Source organism: Homo sapiens, chromosome 4 (genome assembly GCF_000001405.40).
Source record: "Homo sapiens chromosome 4, GRCh38.p14 Primary Assembly".
Classification (NCBI taxonomy): Eukaryota; Metazoa; Chordata; class Mammalia; order Primates; family Hominidae; genus Homo; species Homo sapiens.
Genome location: NC_000004.12, coordinates 189,885,126 through 189,906,253, shown reverse-complemented (window position 1 = coordinate 189,906,253; position 21,128 = coordinate 189,885,126). Strand labels below are relative to the sequence as shown.

General features: G+C 41.3%; 1 long non-coding RNA gene across 2 annotated transcripts in view; it reads left to right on the top strand.

Annotated features, from left to right (window-relative positions):
* Nucleotides 1–21,128, top strand: part of FRG1-DT (FRG1 divergent transcript) — a 176,343-nt gene that overhangs the window by 34,480 nt on the left and 120,735 nt on the right. The gene's annotated exons all lie outside the window — the stretch shown is intronic.

Below are 21,128 nucleotides of genomic sequence, written 5' to 3'. Positions count from 1 at the left end.
GAACTTTCTCATGACAGGGAGGGCTAGAGTAGGAAAATGGAATTTTGCAACAAGGATAGGGTGAGGGACATGGGAAATGATTGATCAAGTATTTAAGAAATGACCTGGGTGGAAGCTACATCAGAGAGTATGAGCTTTAGAGCATCTGTCCTCAAATTTTTGGTTTCAGGACCACTTTACATTTAAAAGTTATTGAGGACCCCAAAGAGCTTTTATTTACTTGGATTATATCTATCTATATTTATCATATTAAACATTAAAGCTGAGAAATTAAAAAAATATACTTATATGTTTACATAAATCACATTTTTATTTAAAGTTATCATTTTTAAACAGTAAAGTTGGTGAGAACATTGACATTGTTTTATATTTTTAAGTATGTCTTTAATGTCTGGTTTAATAGAAGAAAACTTCGTTCTCCTTTCTGCTTCTACATTTAATTTCTTGTGACATCCCACGTCAGGTAGCCTCTGGGAAACTCCAATTATACTTGTGAGAGAATGAAATTGGAAAAGGTCAACAAAACCTGTGTATTTTTATGAAAAGAGTTTTGACCTTGCAGAGCCCCTGGAAGGGACCCAGGGACTTCTCAGGGTTCTCTGGCTCATGTGTTCACAGAGTAGAGGGTAAGTCCACAAGAGAAGGCAGTGATTGGCTGTGGGAGGTCTTGCTGAGTGGTGGTAGAGAAGAGGTTGGATGTGTAGAAAGTATGGTCATTGTTGTCATTTCTTTTCCCTTTCCTTTGGCTTCTTGTCGCTGGGATTTCCTCTTTAGCTGCCTAATGAAAGTTTTTGTTTTGTCTTTCTGAGTCTTGATACATTTCAAGAAGTCTTCTATCTCATTTATTTTTCCACCCAAATTTGGAATTTAGGAAGAGTCCATATAGCTATATTTAGATAATTTATCTCCCTGAAGACATTTTGGGATCATTTATAAATCTCTGTAAGCAATGCTCTGATGTCCCTTTATTTTGCTTAGAGACTGGGTCTTGCCGTGTTGTCTGGACTGGAGTGGCTCGATCGTAGCTCACAATACGCAGTACAATCAAACTCCTGGTCTCAAAGCGATCCTGCCACTCAGCCTCCACAGTAGCTAGGTCTGCAGGTGTGTGCCAGCACGCCTAGCTTTTTATTACTATTATTATTATTTCATTATGCTGCCCAGGCTGGTCTTCCAACTCCTGGCCTCAAGTGATCCTCCTGCCTTCTGCCTTCTGAAGAGCTGAGATTACAGCTGTAAGCCACCATGCTGGTCCCGATGTCATTTAAATACAAACAAGATACTATATTCCTTGTAGGAAGTGCTACATAAACATAATTTTTTTGAGCTAGGGTCTTGCCGTGTCACCCAGGCTGGAATGCAGTGGTATGATCACACTCACTGCAGCCTTGACCTCCAGGGCTTAAGCGATCCTCCCACCTCAGCCTTCCAAGTAGCTGGGACCTGAGGTGTGAGCCACCAAGCCCAGCGAATTTTTCAAATTTTTGGTAAAGATGGGTGTGTCATTGTGTTGCCCAGGCTGGTCTTGAACTCTTGGGCTCAAGTTACCCTCCTCCCAGGTCTCCCAAAAGTGCTGGGATTAAGCACCCGGCCCTAAAATTTCATTCACTTTCTTTGTTTGTCCACAAGGTGGTGTTGTTTCCCCACAAGGTGGTGCTGTTTCCCTTCTAATAACATGAGACAGCTCACTCAAGAACATCAAGAACACGACATTCTCTAAAAAATATCACAGTAGTTCCTTTTCCATAACTATTAAGTTTTCAAGGTGTTATCAGGTTTATCTCATAGAAAGAATGTGTAAAATTTTTCATGTACAAACATAATCTTTTAGCAATGAGTTAAAAAATTTGGCATTGTCTGAATGAAGATTTCCTTTTTCCTATAATTTTATTTATTATAATTATATTTTTAGTGATATCAATTGCTTTATAAAAACTCATTACCGAATGACTGTGAAATCGTCTGCTTTGAAGCACAGTGAAATCAGTCAGCATACTGGGTCTAACACGGTTCCTTCCATTTTAAGAAAGCTATTTACACTCCAATTTGCAAGTTGGACTTTACAAAAATTAAAACATTTATAAAATATACTAACTATGATTGTTTTAAAAAGTAATGGTTTTTTTATGGTAAGGAAATAAATTGAAGCTCTGTGTTGGAAAGTGCAGAAAACAAATCAGCATTCTTTATAAATAGATTTTACTGCTGGTTTAGAAATTACCTTATGTGCTTTATAGATGATGGAAAAATGAAATCAGCTGCAGTTAGCACTGTGCATGCGTCGTATTTGCTGTGTCACTTTTAGAAAGATTATGGAATATTGGCAGGTCAGGATTCTCAAAATGATCAGTTCTAAGAAGAGGCTAAATGAAAAAGAATTTAAAAGCAAGCCTAGTTGTTTAATATATACATGGATGAGTTAAGGGGAAATCCTGGACTGGGAGCTAGCAGATCTATGTTCTGACTTTTACTAAGTCATTGGCTGCTACAGCAGGCCGAGCAGACATAACTGCCAAGGCTGCCTGGGAGTTGGGTTGACTGGCAATTGGCACAGGGAGGGAGGGCAATTGCCAGAGTAATGGCCAAATATTCAGGGTTTCATGTTCAGTGAAGTAGGGCATGCATTTATATCCCAAAGGCAAAACTGACGCTAGAATCAGGCCTTCTGGCTGAATCTGAGTCCACAGTCTGATGGGTAGGATGAAGTAGTCTCAGAAATCCAAGCCAGCCAGAACCCATGAGGTGTGCTCTGCAGATATTGGCTGGCAAGCTGCATTAAGATGTTTCATTCCATTGAGCAAACATTCCTTGATTGATTAGGTTAGCATCCCACAGGAGCAGAGACAAATTCTTCAGAATTTGTCCATGAAGCTGTAGTCCCAGAGCTTATATTTCAAGGGCAGAAGGAGGAAACAGCATTTCAGGATGGTAGGTGATTACAGCTAAACCGAATTCTGAAAATAAAAGGAACCCTATGTCTTTGTCTGCTCAGGCTGCTGTTACAAACAACTGTAGACTGAGTGGCTTAAACAGCACATACTTGTTTCTCACAGTTCTGAGAAATCAAAGATTAAAATCTGGGCCAGCAGAGCCAGTGTCTGGTGAAGGCCTTCTTACTGGTTTGCAGGTGTTCTTGTTGTATCTTCACATGGCTGAGAGAAGAGGGCTCTAGTCTCCTTCTCTTCTTATTAGGATGCTAACCCCATCGTGGGAACTCCATCCTCATCAAAACCAAATTACTTCCCAAAGGTCCTCCTTCTAATGCCATTCTATTGTTAGAGTTTCAACATGTGCATTTGTTGATGCAAACATGCAGTCCACAGCATCTTATCTAATCAAATCAGTTGCCCCTTGAATAAAATTCTAGCTCCTATAACAAGACTTAAAATTATGACTTGGTTGTTGCCAAAACGGTCTATCTGGATTTGCTAGAAACCAAGCATATTTGAATATTTCCTCTAAAGATTTTCTCATTCCTACCCTATTATGTATATTTACAGAATTCTTAAATAATTATATACACAAGGCTTCTATTAGCTCTGACTAGAGCTTCTATTAGCTTTGACTATTGCAAGCAGCTTTATAGCACTGTAGGTAAAGCATGTGCTTTGAAATCATACAATAAAATTTATTACATGCTAAGCACTTTATATTCATTATTTAATTTTATCATCTTAATCACCTTCATTATTACCTCCATTAAACCCTATTTGTTGGCTACCTATATTATTCTGATTTTGCAAAACTAAATTTGAGAGCCTTTCCCAATGTCACATAAGTTAATAACTGGCATAGCTGGGGCTTGAATTAAAGTCTACCTGATTCCAAGATCTATTTACCATTGTTCTACAATATGTACTTTTTAGGTCCCTGAGAAGGCTAACAGCCTTTCTTTTGAAATCTGCCTTCTTCCTGGATAGCAGCTTTATTAATATGTGATTAGGGCACCATATTTCAGGCAACAAATTCTTTGAAATCTTTCATTTCCATAGTGAGATAAGGATCAGTTCTGTGGCATTGTCTGCCAGAAAACATCATTTGGAGACTATCTTGTACAAGAAGTAGAAGACACAGCTGGGGGCCTGTGGAGGACAGAAAGCTCACAGCTTCTGTCCATACCCCTTTCACTTCCTCCTCAAGGAGATGGACCTCTGTGGTTGGTCAAGCTTAAGGATCTTTTATGGGCCACAGCTAATGGTGAAATCTTCCTAACTGTAGGTGAAGATTTATGGGCAAGTTGGAGAGTTAAGGTAGCTTGTGGCTGCTCCTTTTAGAAGAAAGTCTGATCATTGCTCTCTTATTTGTGGAACCCCTATGCTTGGTAAGACATGCCTGAAGACCAATCCTGTGTCAGTAGACTTCATATCTACTCTCTTCTACCAATCACACAACTACAGACAAATAAGAAAAATAAAACAAAGCTCAGACACACTCCCCTGGCATGGAGGTCACTCTCTGGCTGGCTGCTTTTCTCTACCCTGGTGCCTCCTGGGTGTTCGGCTCTTTCTTAGACCAAATTGAGACATGGGTTTGGGATTAAAGAGAAGTAAGTGAGAGGGGTCTCTGGCCTGTTTTGGCATTAGACCAAGTAAATAACAGAGTTCTTCTGCCTTAAGCTCAGCTCTGTAGAGCTTTCTCTGTGTTTGGGGAAAATCTCCAGATAGTAATGAAGTGGTATTTTACTGTGCTTCATTTTCTGTACATATATCTCTTTCTTAGGTATCTTGTGGGGAGATTGGTTCCCTGGACAAATACCATCTTAATCACTTTCATTATTACCAATTTTATTTTATTTGCAGAATTAAAATTTAAATGGACATTCAGGAAACAAGTCTGGTGAGAGAATTATGTTATGAGGTAAATCTTTCAGCATCTGCCTTAGGGACATGGATTATTTTCCCCCTTGTTTTTCACCAAGCTCCAGGCTTGCAAAAGAATCGTGATGTGGTCTGAGGCAAACTTACTGATTGGCTAGTGGTAAGTTAAACCGTGGCCTGTAGGACCGCGGGGAACCATTGCCTGTCATCGGCCAGAATCCACTGTTTGGAGGTGTGCGCTGGGAAGGCCATTCATACTTACTGATACATGCTTTGTTCTTGGCACTGTGTTAAGTACTGGACACATGCAACAATTTGGAATATTGTTACATTCAACCCTCACAATAGTCTGATGTATATGTTATTAGTCCCGTATTGGAGACGAGTAAACAAGATTAGAGGAAGAGCAGCACACAGCTGGAACCACACAGGTGGCACTGGGATTGGAAGCAGTTCTGTCTCACCCTGGACCACCATTTCTATGCTGTGTCTCCACTAGAGGATCCTTTCTTTGGTTCTTCTAAGTCATTAGTCATCAATAATTTATCTCCAAACTGTAGGTTTCACAGGAGGAGATGCCACTTGAAGCTGCATGGCTAAAAATGGAGATGGAATGTGGAACATGGTGGGAAACACTGGGAGGGGTTTATTGATAAACTTCAAGTACTTTGTGGGGCTCTGAAAGGCTGTCTTCAAATTCTTTGTCCTACTACCTCTTTCATATTAGTTCAAATGTCATATGGGTATATCTTTTGGGTTAAATTAAGGAAAATCTCCATGATAAGTAAAAAACAAACAAAAAAACCCCAAAAGAATAGAAAGAGGTACTACGAAAAATCAACTCAGATTTCTCAGTTTTGTTAACTCAAAGAAGCCTTGGTCCAGTTGGAAGAAGACAGAATTGATTTTGACAATCTCTAGCAAACCCTTTAGCGTTCAATGCACTCTAGACCATGAGTATAAAGAAGTTCACTTAATGGGTTCACCAAATTAGTTAGTTTGTGTAGTTCAAAGGGAAACAGACACACAGGACTGTGAGGCTTTGACAGGGGTGAAAGGCAAGTGTGGGTCCAGTGAGCCCAGGCAGGCCATGAAGGGGCAGGGCAGGAGGAGGACGGTGCTGGGAGGCTAGGGAACTGGCCACCTCCGTGCTGGCTGAAGATCACAAAAATGAACACAGCTTTCTCCAAACGCTGCCCATGCCTGATGGAATTAAACAGAGCTCTGAGAAAGACAGCACCGGGGCCGAGGATGGGTCCTGAGCTGCCTACACTCATCAATATCTTGGCCAGTGGCTATGCCCTCAGGGGCAATTTGCCTAGCTTTCTTGATCCACACCAGAAAACTCGCTTTTGAAGTGGTTTGGAAAGCTCCAAAAGGGATGTGCTTCATGCTATTGGTATTGCTGCCAAAAAGAAAAGATTCTGCTTTTCATCAGCTGTTGATTTTTTCTCTGTGTATTTCTCTAGCATCTATTGCTGGTGGCCCTGGTTATGCTAACAAGCAGATAGTGTAGCTGCAGCAGCAGAACAGAAAAGACTCTCCTGGATTCTCAATTCCAGGCTGGCCTGGGAACAGGCTTAGGGATGTTTCGATGCTTGAATGCAGGCAGGCTGGAGATCTGTGGCAATTCTTTTGACATGAGGCTGGACATTCTTTATAGCTTCCCCAGACACAGAAATTGGCAGGGCTTGACAAAGAATCACTGGCAGGAAGTTCATTTTCTTTATTGCTACCTCCCCAGCCATAAAACTAAAAGCTTTTTACCTAAATCACGTTAGCCATCTCGTGGGAGTAGGAGATCATTTTCTTCAGAGTCTTTCCCAATTGGAGTCTAGTCCTAGGATGGTTTGAACAGTCCATTTGAATTTGAAGAGCTTTCTAATTGATGCTTCTCATCCCCTCTCCAACCAGTCCTATTTGGTGTCATCTGCCTTTCCCCTTCCTCCCTACCAAACCTCAGAGTCTTGAAACAAAAATCTTTGTATTGTAAACTTCATCATGCTAATTTCATCACTTCAAACGAACCTTCTCTTGTTTGAGTTTCCTCCAACTGTGTGACTTAGGGCTGTTGAACTCTTTCAAATACACAGGAAAATGGAAACCTCTTTTGGTGTCTAGTGATCGTATAATAAAACATTTTCAGATGCTAATCACGTGCTTTGTTAATGAATGAAAATCTAAGGATATTCTTATTTGAAAGGTTTAAAAATATAATAACTGTCATTATATCTAATTCTGTCTACATTTGTGGTGTGAAATGAGAAGTCAGGAGCCCTGCCATCTACACAGTGCATGGTTCTACCAGCCGTTTCTGTGTCACTTCAAGCAAATCACTTCTTTTCTGCCTTTTCTTTCTTTTTATGTAAAATGTGGATAACTGTCTGTCTCACTGAATTCACAGAGTGACTGTATCATGTACAACAAAATTTATTGAAAAGTGTAAAGCTCTATAATTAGGTAGAATGTTACCTGTCATTTATAAGCTTTTTAAATCCTGGGGCGGTGGAGGAAGTATTCTTCTTACTGTAAAAGGACATCCCTCTAATAATCTCCCTTCTTTTCCTGACTTTTCAGGGATTCTGTTCATTGCTTTTCCATTTGTCAACTGCATCTTCAATCTCTCTCCTCCTTGATGCCTTCTGTCAGCATTTAAATATAAATTTTTCATTTAAAAAAATCTTCTATCTTGGAGAAACCTTACCTTTGACTCTCTATGTCTTTCTAGCTATCAAGCCATCTCCTCCTTTCTTGGCAAATTTTCCTCAAGGATTTTCCACACTTACTGTCTCCTTTTGCTCCTTTTCCTTTCACTCTTTATTCAGGTCAGTTTGGCTTTCACTTTCACCAAGCCTGTTAAACTGCTTGTGCTAAGGTCACCATATAAGAGTGCTAGGGGCTTCCATCACAAGCTGCCACAGATTGAGTGGTTTATCTTCTCACAGCTCTGAAGACTGGAAATCCAGGATGGAATGTCAGCAGGTTTGCCTTCTTCTGAGAACTGCTGCCTTGCAGACGGCTCCCTTCCTGCTGTGTCCTCAGGCTGTGTTGCCTGTGTCTCAATCTCTTTTTAGATGGACACCTGCCATATTGGTTTAGGGTCCACCCATACGGCTTCATTTGACCTCACTTACCTCTTTGAAGGCCTTCTCTAAATCAGTCCCCTCTGAGGCAGTGGGGATCAGCTCTTCAACATAGGAATCTTGGGGGACACAATTCAGTGCCCCCAGAATTGGTGATTCATAAACATCATGAACACTATTCCTCTTTCTCCCTTTCTTTCTCTTTCTTTCTTTCTTTCTTTCTTTTTCTTTCTCTTTCTTTCTTTCTTTCTTTCTTTCTTTTCTTTTCTTTCTTTCTTTCCTTTCTTTCTTTTCTTTCTTTCTCTTTCTTTCCTTCCTTCCTTCTTTCCTTTCTCTTTCTTTCTTTCTTTCTCTCTCTTTCTTTCTCTCTCTTCCCCCTTCCTTCCTTCCTTTCTTCCTTCCTTCCTTCCCTCCCTTTCATTTATTTTCCTTTCCTTTCCTTTCTTTCCTTTCCTTTCCTCGCTCTCCCTTCCTTCTTTCCTTCCCTTTCCTCACTCTCCCTTCCTTCTTTCCTTCCCTTCCCTTTCCTTTCCTTTCCTCGCTCTCCCTTCCTTCTTTCTTTCCTTCCTTCCTTTCTTCCTTCCTTCTTTCCTTCCTTCCATCCTTCCTTCCTTCCTTCTCCTTCTCCCTTCCTGCCTTCTATTTATTTACTTTTGTTTATATAAAATTTACGGGATACAGGTGCAGTTTTGTTCCGTGCATAGTGGTCAGTTCAAAGCTATTAGGGTATCCATCACCCAAGTAACATATATTGTACATATTATGTAATATATAAGTCCAATGGCGTCTCAGAAACATTCAGTAGAGTAGACCCCTGATCTCTTCCTCTAGCTTGAACTATTTTCTTATCAGCTCCTGCCTCTTTGCCCAAACTTTAAATGTTGAAGTTCCTAAATCCTGGGTCCTCTTCTGTTCTTATTCCATACTAAGCTTGTCCAACCTGTGGCCTGTGGGCCACGTGTGGCCCAGGACAGCTTTGAATGCAGCCCAACACAAATTTGTAAACATTCGTCAAGCATTATAGATTTTTTTATGTTTTTTTTTTTAGCTCATCAGCTATTGTTAATGTTAGTATATTTTATGTGTGGCCCAAGACAATTCTTCTTCCAGTGCAGCCCAGGGAAGCCAAAAGATTGGACGCCCGTGCCTACACAGACTCTAGACAAGGTTTTATTAATTCCTATGGCTTTAGATACTGTTTATATGCATATGGCTCCTACAGAGCTCTCCTCCCAAGCTCCAAAACATTATGTGCACCTGCCATCTTGAAATCTCCACTGGGATTTTCATAGGCATTCCTAAAATCAGAATTCAAAACTCTTGAGTTCTGCCCCCAAATCTATGCCACTTCCTCAATCATTTCCCTTTTGTTAGTTTATTTCTTCTTCAGCCTTACCATTCTTCGTAAAAATTATCTCCATTTACCCATTTGCTTCTTCCAGAAAGCATCATCATCCTTGATGCTTTCTTCTTCCTGCCACCCCCCTACCATCACAACTTGCAACCAAGTCCTGTTATTTCACCTTCAAAATATGTGCTAAAATTATCCACTTCTGTCATCCGCATGTTTCACCTGGTCTGCAAACATATACTCCTCTTTCCAACTTTTTGCCTCTCCAATACCTTCTCTATGGCACACCCAGAGAGGTTCATCAAAAATTTCAATTAGATCATGTCTCTCCTTCATTTAAAAATCTTTAATGATTTTCTACCCATGAAGTAATTCTGCTAGACCACAAGCTCTAAAGATGCAAGGAGTAGGTTTGCCTTATTTGTTTCTGTTTATGCAGAGCCTAGCCTTGCATTTAGTAGGAACTTAACACATTGACCTAGATCTTGTCCACCTTCTCAGCCTCACCTCTCATGGCAGCACTCATAGACCTCAGTCCAGTTACTCTTTTCTCAGATCCCTGAGCTGGCCTGGTCCAGGGCTGCCTGGGCCGTGATGCGTTCACTCCTGCTTTGTTGGCTGGTATCTGCTTATATTCTTGCTACTGTAACTGATGTCCAAGGCAGTCACATAGGCATCCCTGGGAGCTTGCTAGAGCTCAGGCACCACCCTAGATCCAATGAATCAGAATCTGCATGTTGACAAGGTCCCCAGGTGGTTCCTATGCACATTCAAGTTTACGGTGCTTTGCTCTAGATCCCAGCCTGAGGGTTAGTTCTTTAAAGAGACCTTTCCCAACTGGCCAAATCGTATTAGGTCATGTGTTGGATTCACCCACACAGTCTGTGATACAGAAGGGAAAAGGAGTTGAGGCCTATTGATCAGAAGCTGCTCACTTTAGAGTTTTACCTAAGGGTAATTATATCAAAATTCTGTATTTTGTAGAGAAGCATACAAACTATGTGAATAGTTTGAGCAAATTGAAAATTGCCAGTTTTGTTTGCTTTAACCAATATGTTTGCTTTCCCTCTGAAAATCCCTTGTTATGGGTCCTTAGTTTTAGTTTGCCACATTATGACACGATGGGAATAATGCACAGCAGTGATCCTCAGTTGGTTTGGGTTTTCAATACACAATTGATCCATGGTTGTGGCATGCATTGTAGAATGTCCAGCTAGAACACCTATTCTTTCAATTACTTTCATTACTTTCAATGGCAAAACCACAATTACTTTTGCACTAACCTGATAGTTTTGCTACGAGTCAATTGTTCAGGTGTTTTTTTGTTGTTGTTTGTTTTTATTTTTGCAAATACTTTAGATACTGCATAGTGGATGGATTAGTCTGTGGTTCCTGGGATCTTCTGTGTATTCTGTTGAAGCTCAATAATCACATTACTGCGGACCTCCAAAATTTTACAAAGGACTGCATAGTGAGTATTCAGCCGATAAACTAAACCATAGCTTATTACTGTGAGATGAAAGAAAGCACACCAATTAAAAGTAAACACTGTTTAAACTTATCTCAATGCATTTCTAAAGTGTCATACATTTATTATATTCTCTACTTGTAAATATTTTGTTGTGTGTATTGCCAAATATGTCAGGATTTTATGGGTATAATGTATTCTATTAATTTAACTGGAAAACTTGTAGTTATTCAACAAGCAAACAAAGTGTTGGCAGAGATGTAATTTTAAAGCACAATCCCACACACTCCTTGAGTATTACAGCTGCTCCCTGTTTATTTAATAATAGAACTGATGAGTAGTTAATTTGAGAGGAAAGCTGGTGCAGGTGTAGTGCTATTTAGATGTCATGGAGGACACATGTGACCTCTGCAGCTAGCTATATGGTAAAAGCAAAACAGAAGTTAAAATCAGCCCTATGTCAAATCTGCATAGTTTTAGGCTTCAGGGAGTTTCTCTGTATGTTGAGGCAGGAAGTTTAGTAGAATTCCAAGGGAATAAGAGAGGAACCAACATTTGTAAATTTTGCCTTCTATGGGGGAACTCATTCAATCATCAGGAGGACTCTTCGATAGGTTTTATTTGCTCTGGTTTACCTAGATGAAAAATTGAGACCCAGAATCCATGCTTTTCTTTGCTGGTTACACATTAGAATCACCAATGTGACATTAAAACACACACACACACACACACACACACACACACACACACCTGCACACCCATTAAGATGGCTGCTATCAAAAAAGAAAAAACAAAAAAATCAGGGGCTGGGCATGCTGGTTCACACCTGTAATCCCAGCCCTTTGGGAGGCCTAGGCAGGTGGATCACCTGAGGTCGGGAGTTTGACAGCAACCTGGCCAACATGGTGAAACCTCATCTGTACCAAAAAACAAAACAAAACAAAACACACACACACACAATTAGTCGGGCATGGTGGCACACATGTGTAATCCCAGCTAATTGAGAGGCTGAGGCACGAGAATCGCTTGAACCTGGGAGGCACAGGTTGCAGTGAGCCGAGATCACGCCACTGCACTCCAGCCTGCAGACAGAAGGAGATTTGGCCTCAAAACAAAGCAAAAACACCCAGAAAATAACAAGTGCTGACAAGGATGTGGAAAAATTGTAACTCTTGTGCATTGAGGGTGGGTATGAAAAATAGTACATCAGCTGTGGAAAACATATGGTTCCTCAAAAATTTAGACATAGAATTACCATATGATTCAGTAATCCCACTCATATCTGTAAATCTCTATATCTGTATCTATATCTACCTATACCTATCTTCAAAAGAATGGAAAGCAGTTACTCAAATAGATACTTGTACACCTGTGTTCTCTCCGTACCCTTTTTTTTTTTAATAGATGGGGTCTCACTATGTTTCCTAGGCCGGAGTGCAGGGGCTGTTTATAGGCATGATCCCCTGCTGCGGGGCTGTCCACGGGCGCGAGCCCCGCCCCCCCGCCCCGCGCTGCAGGCCTGTCCACGGGCACGAGCCCCCTGCTGCGGGGCTGTCCACGGGTGCGACAACCCCGCCTCCCCCCCACCCCCTCTGCAGGGCTGTCCACGGGCGCGACCCCCCTGTTGGCCGGTTCGCCACTCCTTAGGCAACCTGGTAGTCCCCTATCCCGGGAGGTCACTGTACTAATGTCTAATTTCATGCAGACATCTGATCAACACAGCACACTGCAGCCCAGAACTCCTGGGCTCAAGGGATCTTCCTGCCTCAGAAGCCTGAGTAGCAGGAACTACAGGCGCATGCCACCACACCTGGCTGCTACACCTGTGTTCATTGCAGCATCACAGCAGCCTTATTTACAGCAACCACAAGGTGGAAACAACCTAAAAAGTCTATTGAGGGATAGATGGATAAACAAAATGTGGTATAGACATAAAATGGAATATTAGTGATCTTTGAAAAGGGAGGAAATTCTGATACTTGCTACCACATAGATAAAACTTAAAAACATTATGCTAAGTGAGACATCAGACACAGACTACGTGATTCCATCTATATGAAGAACCTGGAACAGGCAAATTAACAGAGACAGAAAGTAGAATAGAGGTTTTCAGGGCTGGCAGGAGGTTAGTGTCTAATGGGCACAGAGTTCCTGTCTGGGATGATAGAATGTTCTGGAAATGGATAGTGGTGATGATTGCACAGCATTGTGAATGTAGCTAACGACATTGAATTCTTTACCAGAAAACAAAACAAAAACAGAAACACATTGCTTAGGCTTCCCAGTTGGACAGGTGACGTGCTTGGTGCAAGCTGGGGCCTGAGTCCAGGCTGCCCTTGCCAGAGCTGCTTCAAGATCCCTCTTGATTGTCCTTAGGCCTGATTGCTCTGGAGAGCCCCATACATGAAAGCCAGCTCTTGTTCTATCTCTTCTCACTCCAGTCCTCTCTGCCCCCACCGTCCCCCAGCTGGGCATTATGAGAAAAGCAAGATGACTATGAGTATTGTGATTATTTATATGAACAAATAATCTCAAGGACTATTGCTAACTAACCCATGGGACTCCCACTACCTTCATGAGGTTTGGACGAGGTGAAGGATCCCTAAAATCCTGCCACCTAGTCAGGAACTCAGTTGTCAATAATTTCTTTATTTGTGATACAAGCAGGGGTGGGGAAAGAGAAATGAACAGACTTGGAAGCTTCTCCGAGGCCTTAGAGAAGACCTCTGGGCTCCAAACACCAGATGCCGGGAGCAAGGAGGGTAGTTGATGACTCCCCACTCTTTCTCCAGCCCCTGCTCCTCTGTTTCTCCCCTTCACCCACTGCAGCTTCCTTAGGTCATGGGTCCTGTGCCGCCATCTCTTTGAATCACGTCCCTTCTATCCCCGTTAATAAAGGAGCATCAGCTAAGTGAACATGGTGATTCACATTCACTTACATTGATTCAGAAATTGTGTTTAGTTCCACACAAGAAAAAGAATGTGGATCTTTTTCACTGGGGAAAAAAAAAGTCGCTACGTATCATCTTAATCATGTTTTCCAGGGATATAATCAATACATGACGCCTATTTAAGCCTTCATTGCATCTGTGCACGTGGTTTGCTTTCCTCTCATGTGAAATAGCGTTGGACCACATGGGTTTGGGTCACAGCCCAGGAAGACACAATCCTGAACGTCATAATCCCAAATGTTGAAGTCCCAAAAGATCTAAATCTGTACAGTCTAAAATCCTGAAAATTACAATCCTCAAAAAACAAAATTCTGAAAATACAATTCTGGAAAAAAATTATTAACACATTCTTTAAAAAGCATTTATTGGGCAGGACGTGGTGGCTCACACCTTTAATCCCAGCACTTTTGGAGGCCAAAGCGGGTGGATCAAAAAGTCAGGAGATCGAGACCATCCTGGCCAACACGGTGAAACCCCATCTTTACTAAAAATACAAAAAATTAGCCAGGCATCGTGATGGGTGCCTGTAGTCCCAGCTACTTGGGAGGCTGAGGCAGGAGATTCACTTGAACCCAGGAGGTGGAGGTTACAGTGAGCTGAGATCGCACCACTGCACTCCAGCCTGGGTGACACAGTGAGACTCTGTCTAAAAACAACAAAAAAGCATTTATTTATATTTTTAAGATGGAATTTATTTGATAAACGTATAAAAACACAACAGAACACTTCCTAGGCTACTTTACACAATCAATAGGCAATAATAACATACATATATTTGCAAGCATAAAACTCAGGTATGCTAAAGAGCGTCTTATGGGTATAACAGTAATGAGCAGATGAGTTGTACTCGTAAAGAAATGGGTCAAAAAGCAAAATGTATAAAAGCATGGTTGGTAACTGGGTGCACTCAGCTTTATAACTTAGGTCATCTGGAATACTGTGACAGACAACCTAAGTCTTTTGACCAGATTCATCAAAAGCTGGGATGGGTCACCATCTAATATGCAGTCAAAGAGCTGAGATCTTGAGAAATTTTCTCTTTCCCAAATACAAATGTGCAAAAAGGATATCTTCTCATTTATTGAGGAAGCTTTAATGTTTTTATGTACAGGTACAATGCTTACACACAAAGTCAGTGTTGTGATAATGCACTCTTGTGGAGTCAAATTTGCAAAAATAAAAGCATAAAACAAATTAGAACTCTCTAAAAGTCTTTGCAAAATTTATACCTCCAGTATTGGAAATGATACTAAGATGAAATACATAGCATACCAAGTTGTAAAAAATGCTGACAATTTAAAATAGTGGAAAAAATGGAAAAAGAAACAACTAAAACGAAAATTGACATATAAAAAGTATATTACATGGATAGATTATGGGCAATTGCAGAGTTCATAATAGCTGGCTGACTCTCATTATCATTAACTGTATTTTGAAGTCTTTCATCATGATGCCTTTTTTGTTTTTAGGATTTGACTCTCCTCATAAAATATGTTCACATTCATTTTCTATGTGGCACTGCTCTTTTTGAAATTCTATAATTTGATACACACTGACATGAGCATTTCCTATTATATTTTCCAATCTTCTATGCCATTCTTGTCTATTGTTTTGAGTATGTGGAAATCCATTTTGCAGGCCCTCATATACAGGCCACTCATTTGGCAGAAACAATACTCTTGATTGAACAGCAACACCGTTGCCTGAATGACTTCTTATCCCACCTTGCACATCATTATTTTCAAACTAGTATGTAATTTTTCTGGCTTCTTCAGGCAATTGTGGTTTTAATTTATCAAAAGCTCCTGGAGTTTTATCAGGTGGAAGGAATGCCAATACAGACAAATGGCACATTTTAAAACTAAAATTTTCATCATTGCCATATGGCCTGGCCAATCCACTCACCTGAATTTTCTGGCAAATGAACTGGGCTGAATGGAAGATACAAACTTTACTGGTAACAACTTGCAATTCACTTTTAGAAGCCTTGATCACACCTAATTAAAAACTTGTCATTATAATTTGGGGATCTGATTGAAATCTATTTTCTTCTGCAAAGCCCTCCAAATCTTCAAATAAGCTTTTATAAAGTACTTCACTTTTTCCAGTTATTAAACCATAAACATGAAGATTAAATTATAGAATTTTGTAATTCATTGGGGGCATAAACTGTATAAAGTTGATTATAAAAACCCACTGGGGACAGTTTTGAAAGTGCCATTCATCAGCCAAAGTGAAAAATGCACCAGTTTTGTTATGTTAGACTTAGTGGTAAATAAATATGTTTATCTTTTTTGACAGTCAAATCCCTAATCAAGAATAGTTCATGATTTAATATGTCTTGTAGCACTGGAGGAAGCTCTGTGCCAGCAGGTGTCTGGTTCAGAAGGCCACTGAATTTGTTGAACTCTTTTTATTATCTGACAAAAGGCATTTTGTGAAGACAAGCATGGTGCTACGTGTAGAGGTGCTTGGTACATGATTACATAATTTGGCAGACAAGATTTTGTGCATTTTTTACTTTCATTTTCACTTCTGTGATATTCAAGACATTCAAAACATTGACAGCAGATCTTCCCCACCTAGTCCGCTCAGACCCACACACTGATCTCTTCTGAGAAAACCATCACAGACATACCCAAAATAATACTTTCCCAGCTTTCCAGGGATTCCTTAATCCAGTCAAGTTGACACCTGAAATTAAGTCTGCAAGTCCACCCCTTGTAGATTTGGCACCCATATGGACCCCCTTAAACCATACATAATTTCCAAATAAGAAGAAAACAAAGCAAGAGTTGTACCTAACATGATGCAACTAACGTGGTACAACTCTCCTGTGATTGTGATTTTCTGGATTTTAGATGTTAAGAATTTAGACTTTAGGACTGGGCATGGTAGCTCATGTCTGTATTCCCAACACTTTGGCAGGCCAAGTCAGGAGGGTCACTTGAGCCCAGGAGTTTGAAATCAGCCAGGGCAATAAAGTGAGACCCCATGATATGGTTTGGCTGTGTCCCCAACCAAATCTCATCTTGAATTGTAGTTCCCATAATCCTCACATATCATGATGGGGACCCAGTGGGAGGTAATTGAATCATGGAGGCAGTTACCCCCATGCTGTTCTCATGATAGTGAGTGAGTTCTCACAAGATCTGATGGTTTTATGAGGAGCTTTTCCCCCTTTGCTTGCACTTCTCCTTCCTGCCGCCTTGTGAAGAAGGTGACTTGCTTCTCCTTTGCATTCTGCCATGCTTGTAAGTTTCCTGAGGCCTCCCCAGCCATGATGAACTGTGAGTCAGTTAAACCTCTTTCCTTTATAAATTACCCAGCTTGGGTATGTCTTTATTAGCAGCATGAGAATGGACTGATACAGTAAATTGGCACTGAGGTAGTGGGGTGTTGCTATAAGGATACCTAAAAATGTGGAAGTGAATTTGGAACTGGGTAACAGGCAGAGTTTGAACAGTTTGGAGGGTTTGAAAGAAGACAGAAAAATGTGAGGAAGTTTGGAACTTCCTAGAGCCTTGCAGATTGGTTTTGAGGAAAATGCTGATAGTGACATGGACAATGAAGTCCAGGCTGAGGTGGTCTCATATGGAGATGAAGAACTTTTTGGGAACTGTAGTAAAGGTGACTCTTACTATGCAAAGAGACTGACGGCATTTTGCCCCTGCCCTAGAAGTCTGTGGAACTATGAACTTGAGATAGATGATTTAGGGTATCTGGCAGAAGAAATTCCTAAGTAGCAAAGTGTTCAAGAGGAAGCAGAGCATAAAGGTTTAAAAAATTTTGCAGCTTGATGATGAGACAGAAAAGGAAAACCCATTTTCTGGAGAGAAATTCAAGCCAGCTGTAGAAATTTGCATAAGTAACGAGGAGCTGAATGTTAATCACCAAGACAATGGGAAAATGTCTTCAGGGTATGTCAGAGACCTTCACAGTAGCTCAAGGCATCACAGGACAGGAGGCCTAGGAGGAAAAAATGGTTTCATGGGCCCGGTGCAGGGCCTTGCTGCTCTGTGCAGTCTCAGGACTTGGTGCCGTGTGTCCCAATCATGGCTAAAGGGCCAATGTACAACTCAGGCCATGGCTTCAGAGGGTACAAGCCCCAAGCCTTGGCAGCTTACACGAGGTGTTGGGCCTGTGGGTGCACAGAAGTCAAGAATTGAGGTTTGAGAATCTACGCCTAAATTTCAGAGGATGCATGGAAATGCCTGGGTGTTCAGGCACAAATTTGTGACGGGGACAGAGCCCTCATGGGGAACCTCTGCTAGGGCAATGTGTGCAGAAGGGAAATGTGGGCCCCCACACCATCCCCACTGGGGCACTGCCTAGTGGAGCTGAGAGAAGACGGCCACCATCCTCCAGACTCCAGAATGGTTGATCCACTGACAGCTTGCACCGTATGCCTGGAAAAGCCACAGACACTCAGCACCAGCCTGTGAAAGCAGCCAGGAGAAGGGCTGTACCCTGCAAATCAACAGGCACCCCTGTTGCCCAAGGCCATGAGAGCCCAACTCTTGCTTCGGCGTGACCTGGATGTGAGACATGAAGTCAAAGGAAATCATTTCAGAGCTTCAAGATTTGACTGACCCATTGAATTTTGGACTTGCATGGGGCCTGCAGTCCCTTCATTTTGGGCCAATTTCTCCCATCTGGAACAGGTGTATTTACCCAATGCCTATACCCTCATTGTATCTATGAAGTAACTAACTTGATTTTGATTTTACAGGCTCATAGGCAGAAGGGCCTTGCCTTGTCTAAGATAAGAATTTGGACTTGGACATTTGGGTTAATGCTGGAATGAGCTAAGACTTTGGGGGACTGTTAGAAAGGCATGATCATGTTTTAAAATGTAAGGACATGAGATTTGGAAGGGGCTGGGGGCAGAATGATATGGTTTGGCTGTGTTGCCAACCAAATCTCACCTTGAATTTTAGTTTCCATAATCCCTACATGTTGTGGGAGGAACCCAGTCGGAGGTAATTGAATCAGGGGGGTGGTTACCCCCATGCTGTTCTCATGACAGTGAGCAATACCTGAAGGTTTTACAAGGGGCTTTTCCCCTTTTGCTCAGCACCTCCTGCTGCCTTGTGAAAAAGTGCCTTGCTTCTTGTTTGCATTCACCATGATTGTAAGTTTTCTGAAGCCTTCCCAGCCATGCCAAACTGTGAGTCAATTAAACCTCTTTCTTTTATAAATTACCCAGGCTCATGTATGTCTTTATTGGGAGCACAAGAATGAACTAATTCACTCCATCTCTACTAAAAAGAAATGAATTTAGACCTTAGGAATTTTGATCTTTCAGGATTTCAACATTCAGGGTTATGGTGTTTGTGACTGGGTCTTCTGGGATTATGATCCTCACCTGGACTAAACAGCCTTGCAGCTCTCTTCAAACTATGATCCTATTCTCCCACTGCCTCCTGAGTTCAGCCTCTTTCTTCAACTTGGCTAAGCCTGCCTTTCCTTTCCTATCTGTCTGCTTTCTTCCCTCTGATTAATCCAAAGTAAAATTTGACTTTTTTTTTCACTCCAACAACTCCAGCTTCTATCACATATCTCCTTTCATGAAGCTGGCCCCTGATAATGTTTCCGTTGACAACAGTATAATATAGACAAGATTGCATATAGTTAAAGTACGTATTTTATTTATTTGGTGGCAGCATTCTGATAAGGAATTAAAACTATTTCTTTTAAAATCATAATTTAATCACCAGGCAGAGCAAGTAAAGAGAAATACATTCCAGAATCTCACATCTGTCAAAAGTAAATGCTGATTTTTATTGAGGACTTCCTTATTTCTGTTGCTAGTTGACTCTCATACAGCTTGTCCCCAACAGAATCTAGTGTGGAATTGGCAAATGGGATGTCATACATGCAGTGCTCTACTGGAGCTGATAATTAAGTACCCAGGAATTTTATGAAGTGTTTGTCAAACCATCAGTAGAAATATTTACACAATGGAAATCAGCAAATGCTACAAATCTGGGCTTCTCCCCACCCAACCAATAAGTTTACTAGCATACCACTTTTATTCGTCTTGTAAACATTCAGAATTTCTATAAATATTCATAGACTCTCCTATACTGAGTGTCTCAGAATAACTTGAAGTTCTTACAGTAGCCAGTGAGGCTGAGTGTGAGTTGACCCACCCCAGTCCCTCTCTCTGACTTGTCTCCTGTTAGCCTTCTGACTCCCAGTGTTCTCTACTTCATGCACCTGGGCTAGGTGTGCACCCTGCTGTTTGCCTGCCTTTTCTTCCTCGAGTGCTCTTCCCCAGATATCTGCATAGCTGGTGCCCTCGCCTCCTTGGAATCTTTGTTCAAATGTTGTCTTCTCAGTGAGACCTTCTATATGTTTTCTATGACTGCAGGAATAAATTAACACACCTCTAGTAGGCTAAGAGAACACACACTCTCTCTAGGGGAGAGAGACCACTTTCTTACCTTCTGCAGCTTTGAGAGGATGCCTGCATCCCTTGGCTCCTGGCCCCCTTCCAGGCAGCCACCACGTCATTCTGACCCTAGCTGTCACGCCTCTTGCCTCGGACTCTCCTGCCTCCCTCTTTTGCTTTTAAGTACTCTTGTGATGACATTGAGCCAACCTGGGTAATCCAGAATAATCTCCTCATCTCATGATCCATAACTTCATCACATCCACAAGTCCTTTTTGCCATATAGGGATATGGACATGTAGAAAGGCCATTCTTCTGCCTATTACTCCCTCCTTGAGCATTCTAACTACCTTCACATCTACCCACTCCCAGCATTCCTGAGCTCCCTTCCATGCTTAATTTTTCTCTGTACCACTTATTACCTTCTGGCATATTCTATATTTTACATATTTATTTTATTAATGATCTGTCTTTTCTCACTGGAATGTAATTTGCCTGAGGGTAAATATTTTTGTTTTATATCATTGCCATATTTTCATTATGTAGAACAGTGCCTTGCTCTTAGCAAGGATTCAAGAAATATATATGTTTTGGCTGAATAAATTAGGTTGAGAAGTTTGGGGGAAAATCCTGGCACGATACAGAAGACAGTTCCCAGTGATGGGAAAGGGCCATGTGGTGGGGCCTCTACAGGAAGCCGGGATGCTCCAGAGGCCCCCCAAGGCAGAGATGCTTTGCTCACATTTAACTCTTTGCCCAAGCTCTGATTTCTAATGTTTTCTTTCATATTTGTTTTTGCTCTGCCTTTTTTTTAATTAATTTTTTTTATAGAGATGAGGTTTTACTATATTTCTCAGGCTGGTATCAAACTCATGAGCTCAAGCAATTTTCCCACCTTGGCCTCCCAAAGCGTTATTACTACAGGTGCAAGCCACCATGCCCGGCCTGCTTTTCTCTTTCTTTGAAATATACTCACAATGTTTATATTGGTTTCTAACTACAGATCATGAACTCCTGAAGCAAAGTAACCACTTTGTTCTTCGTTATTTCTTTCACTCTTC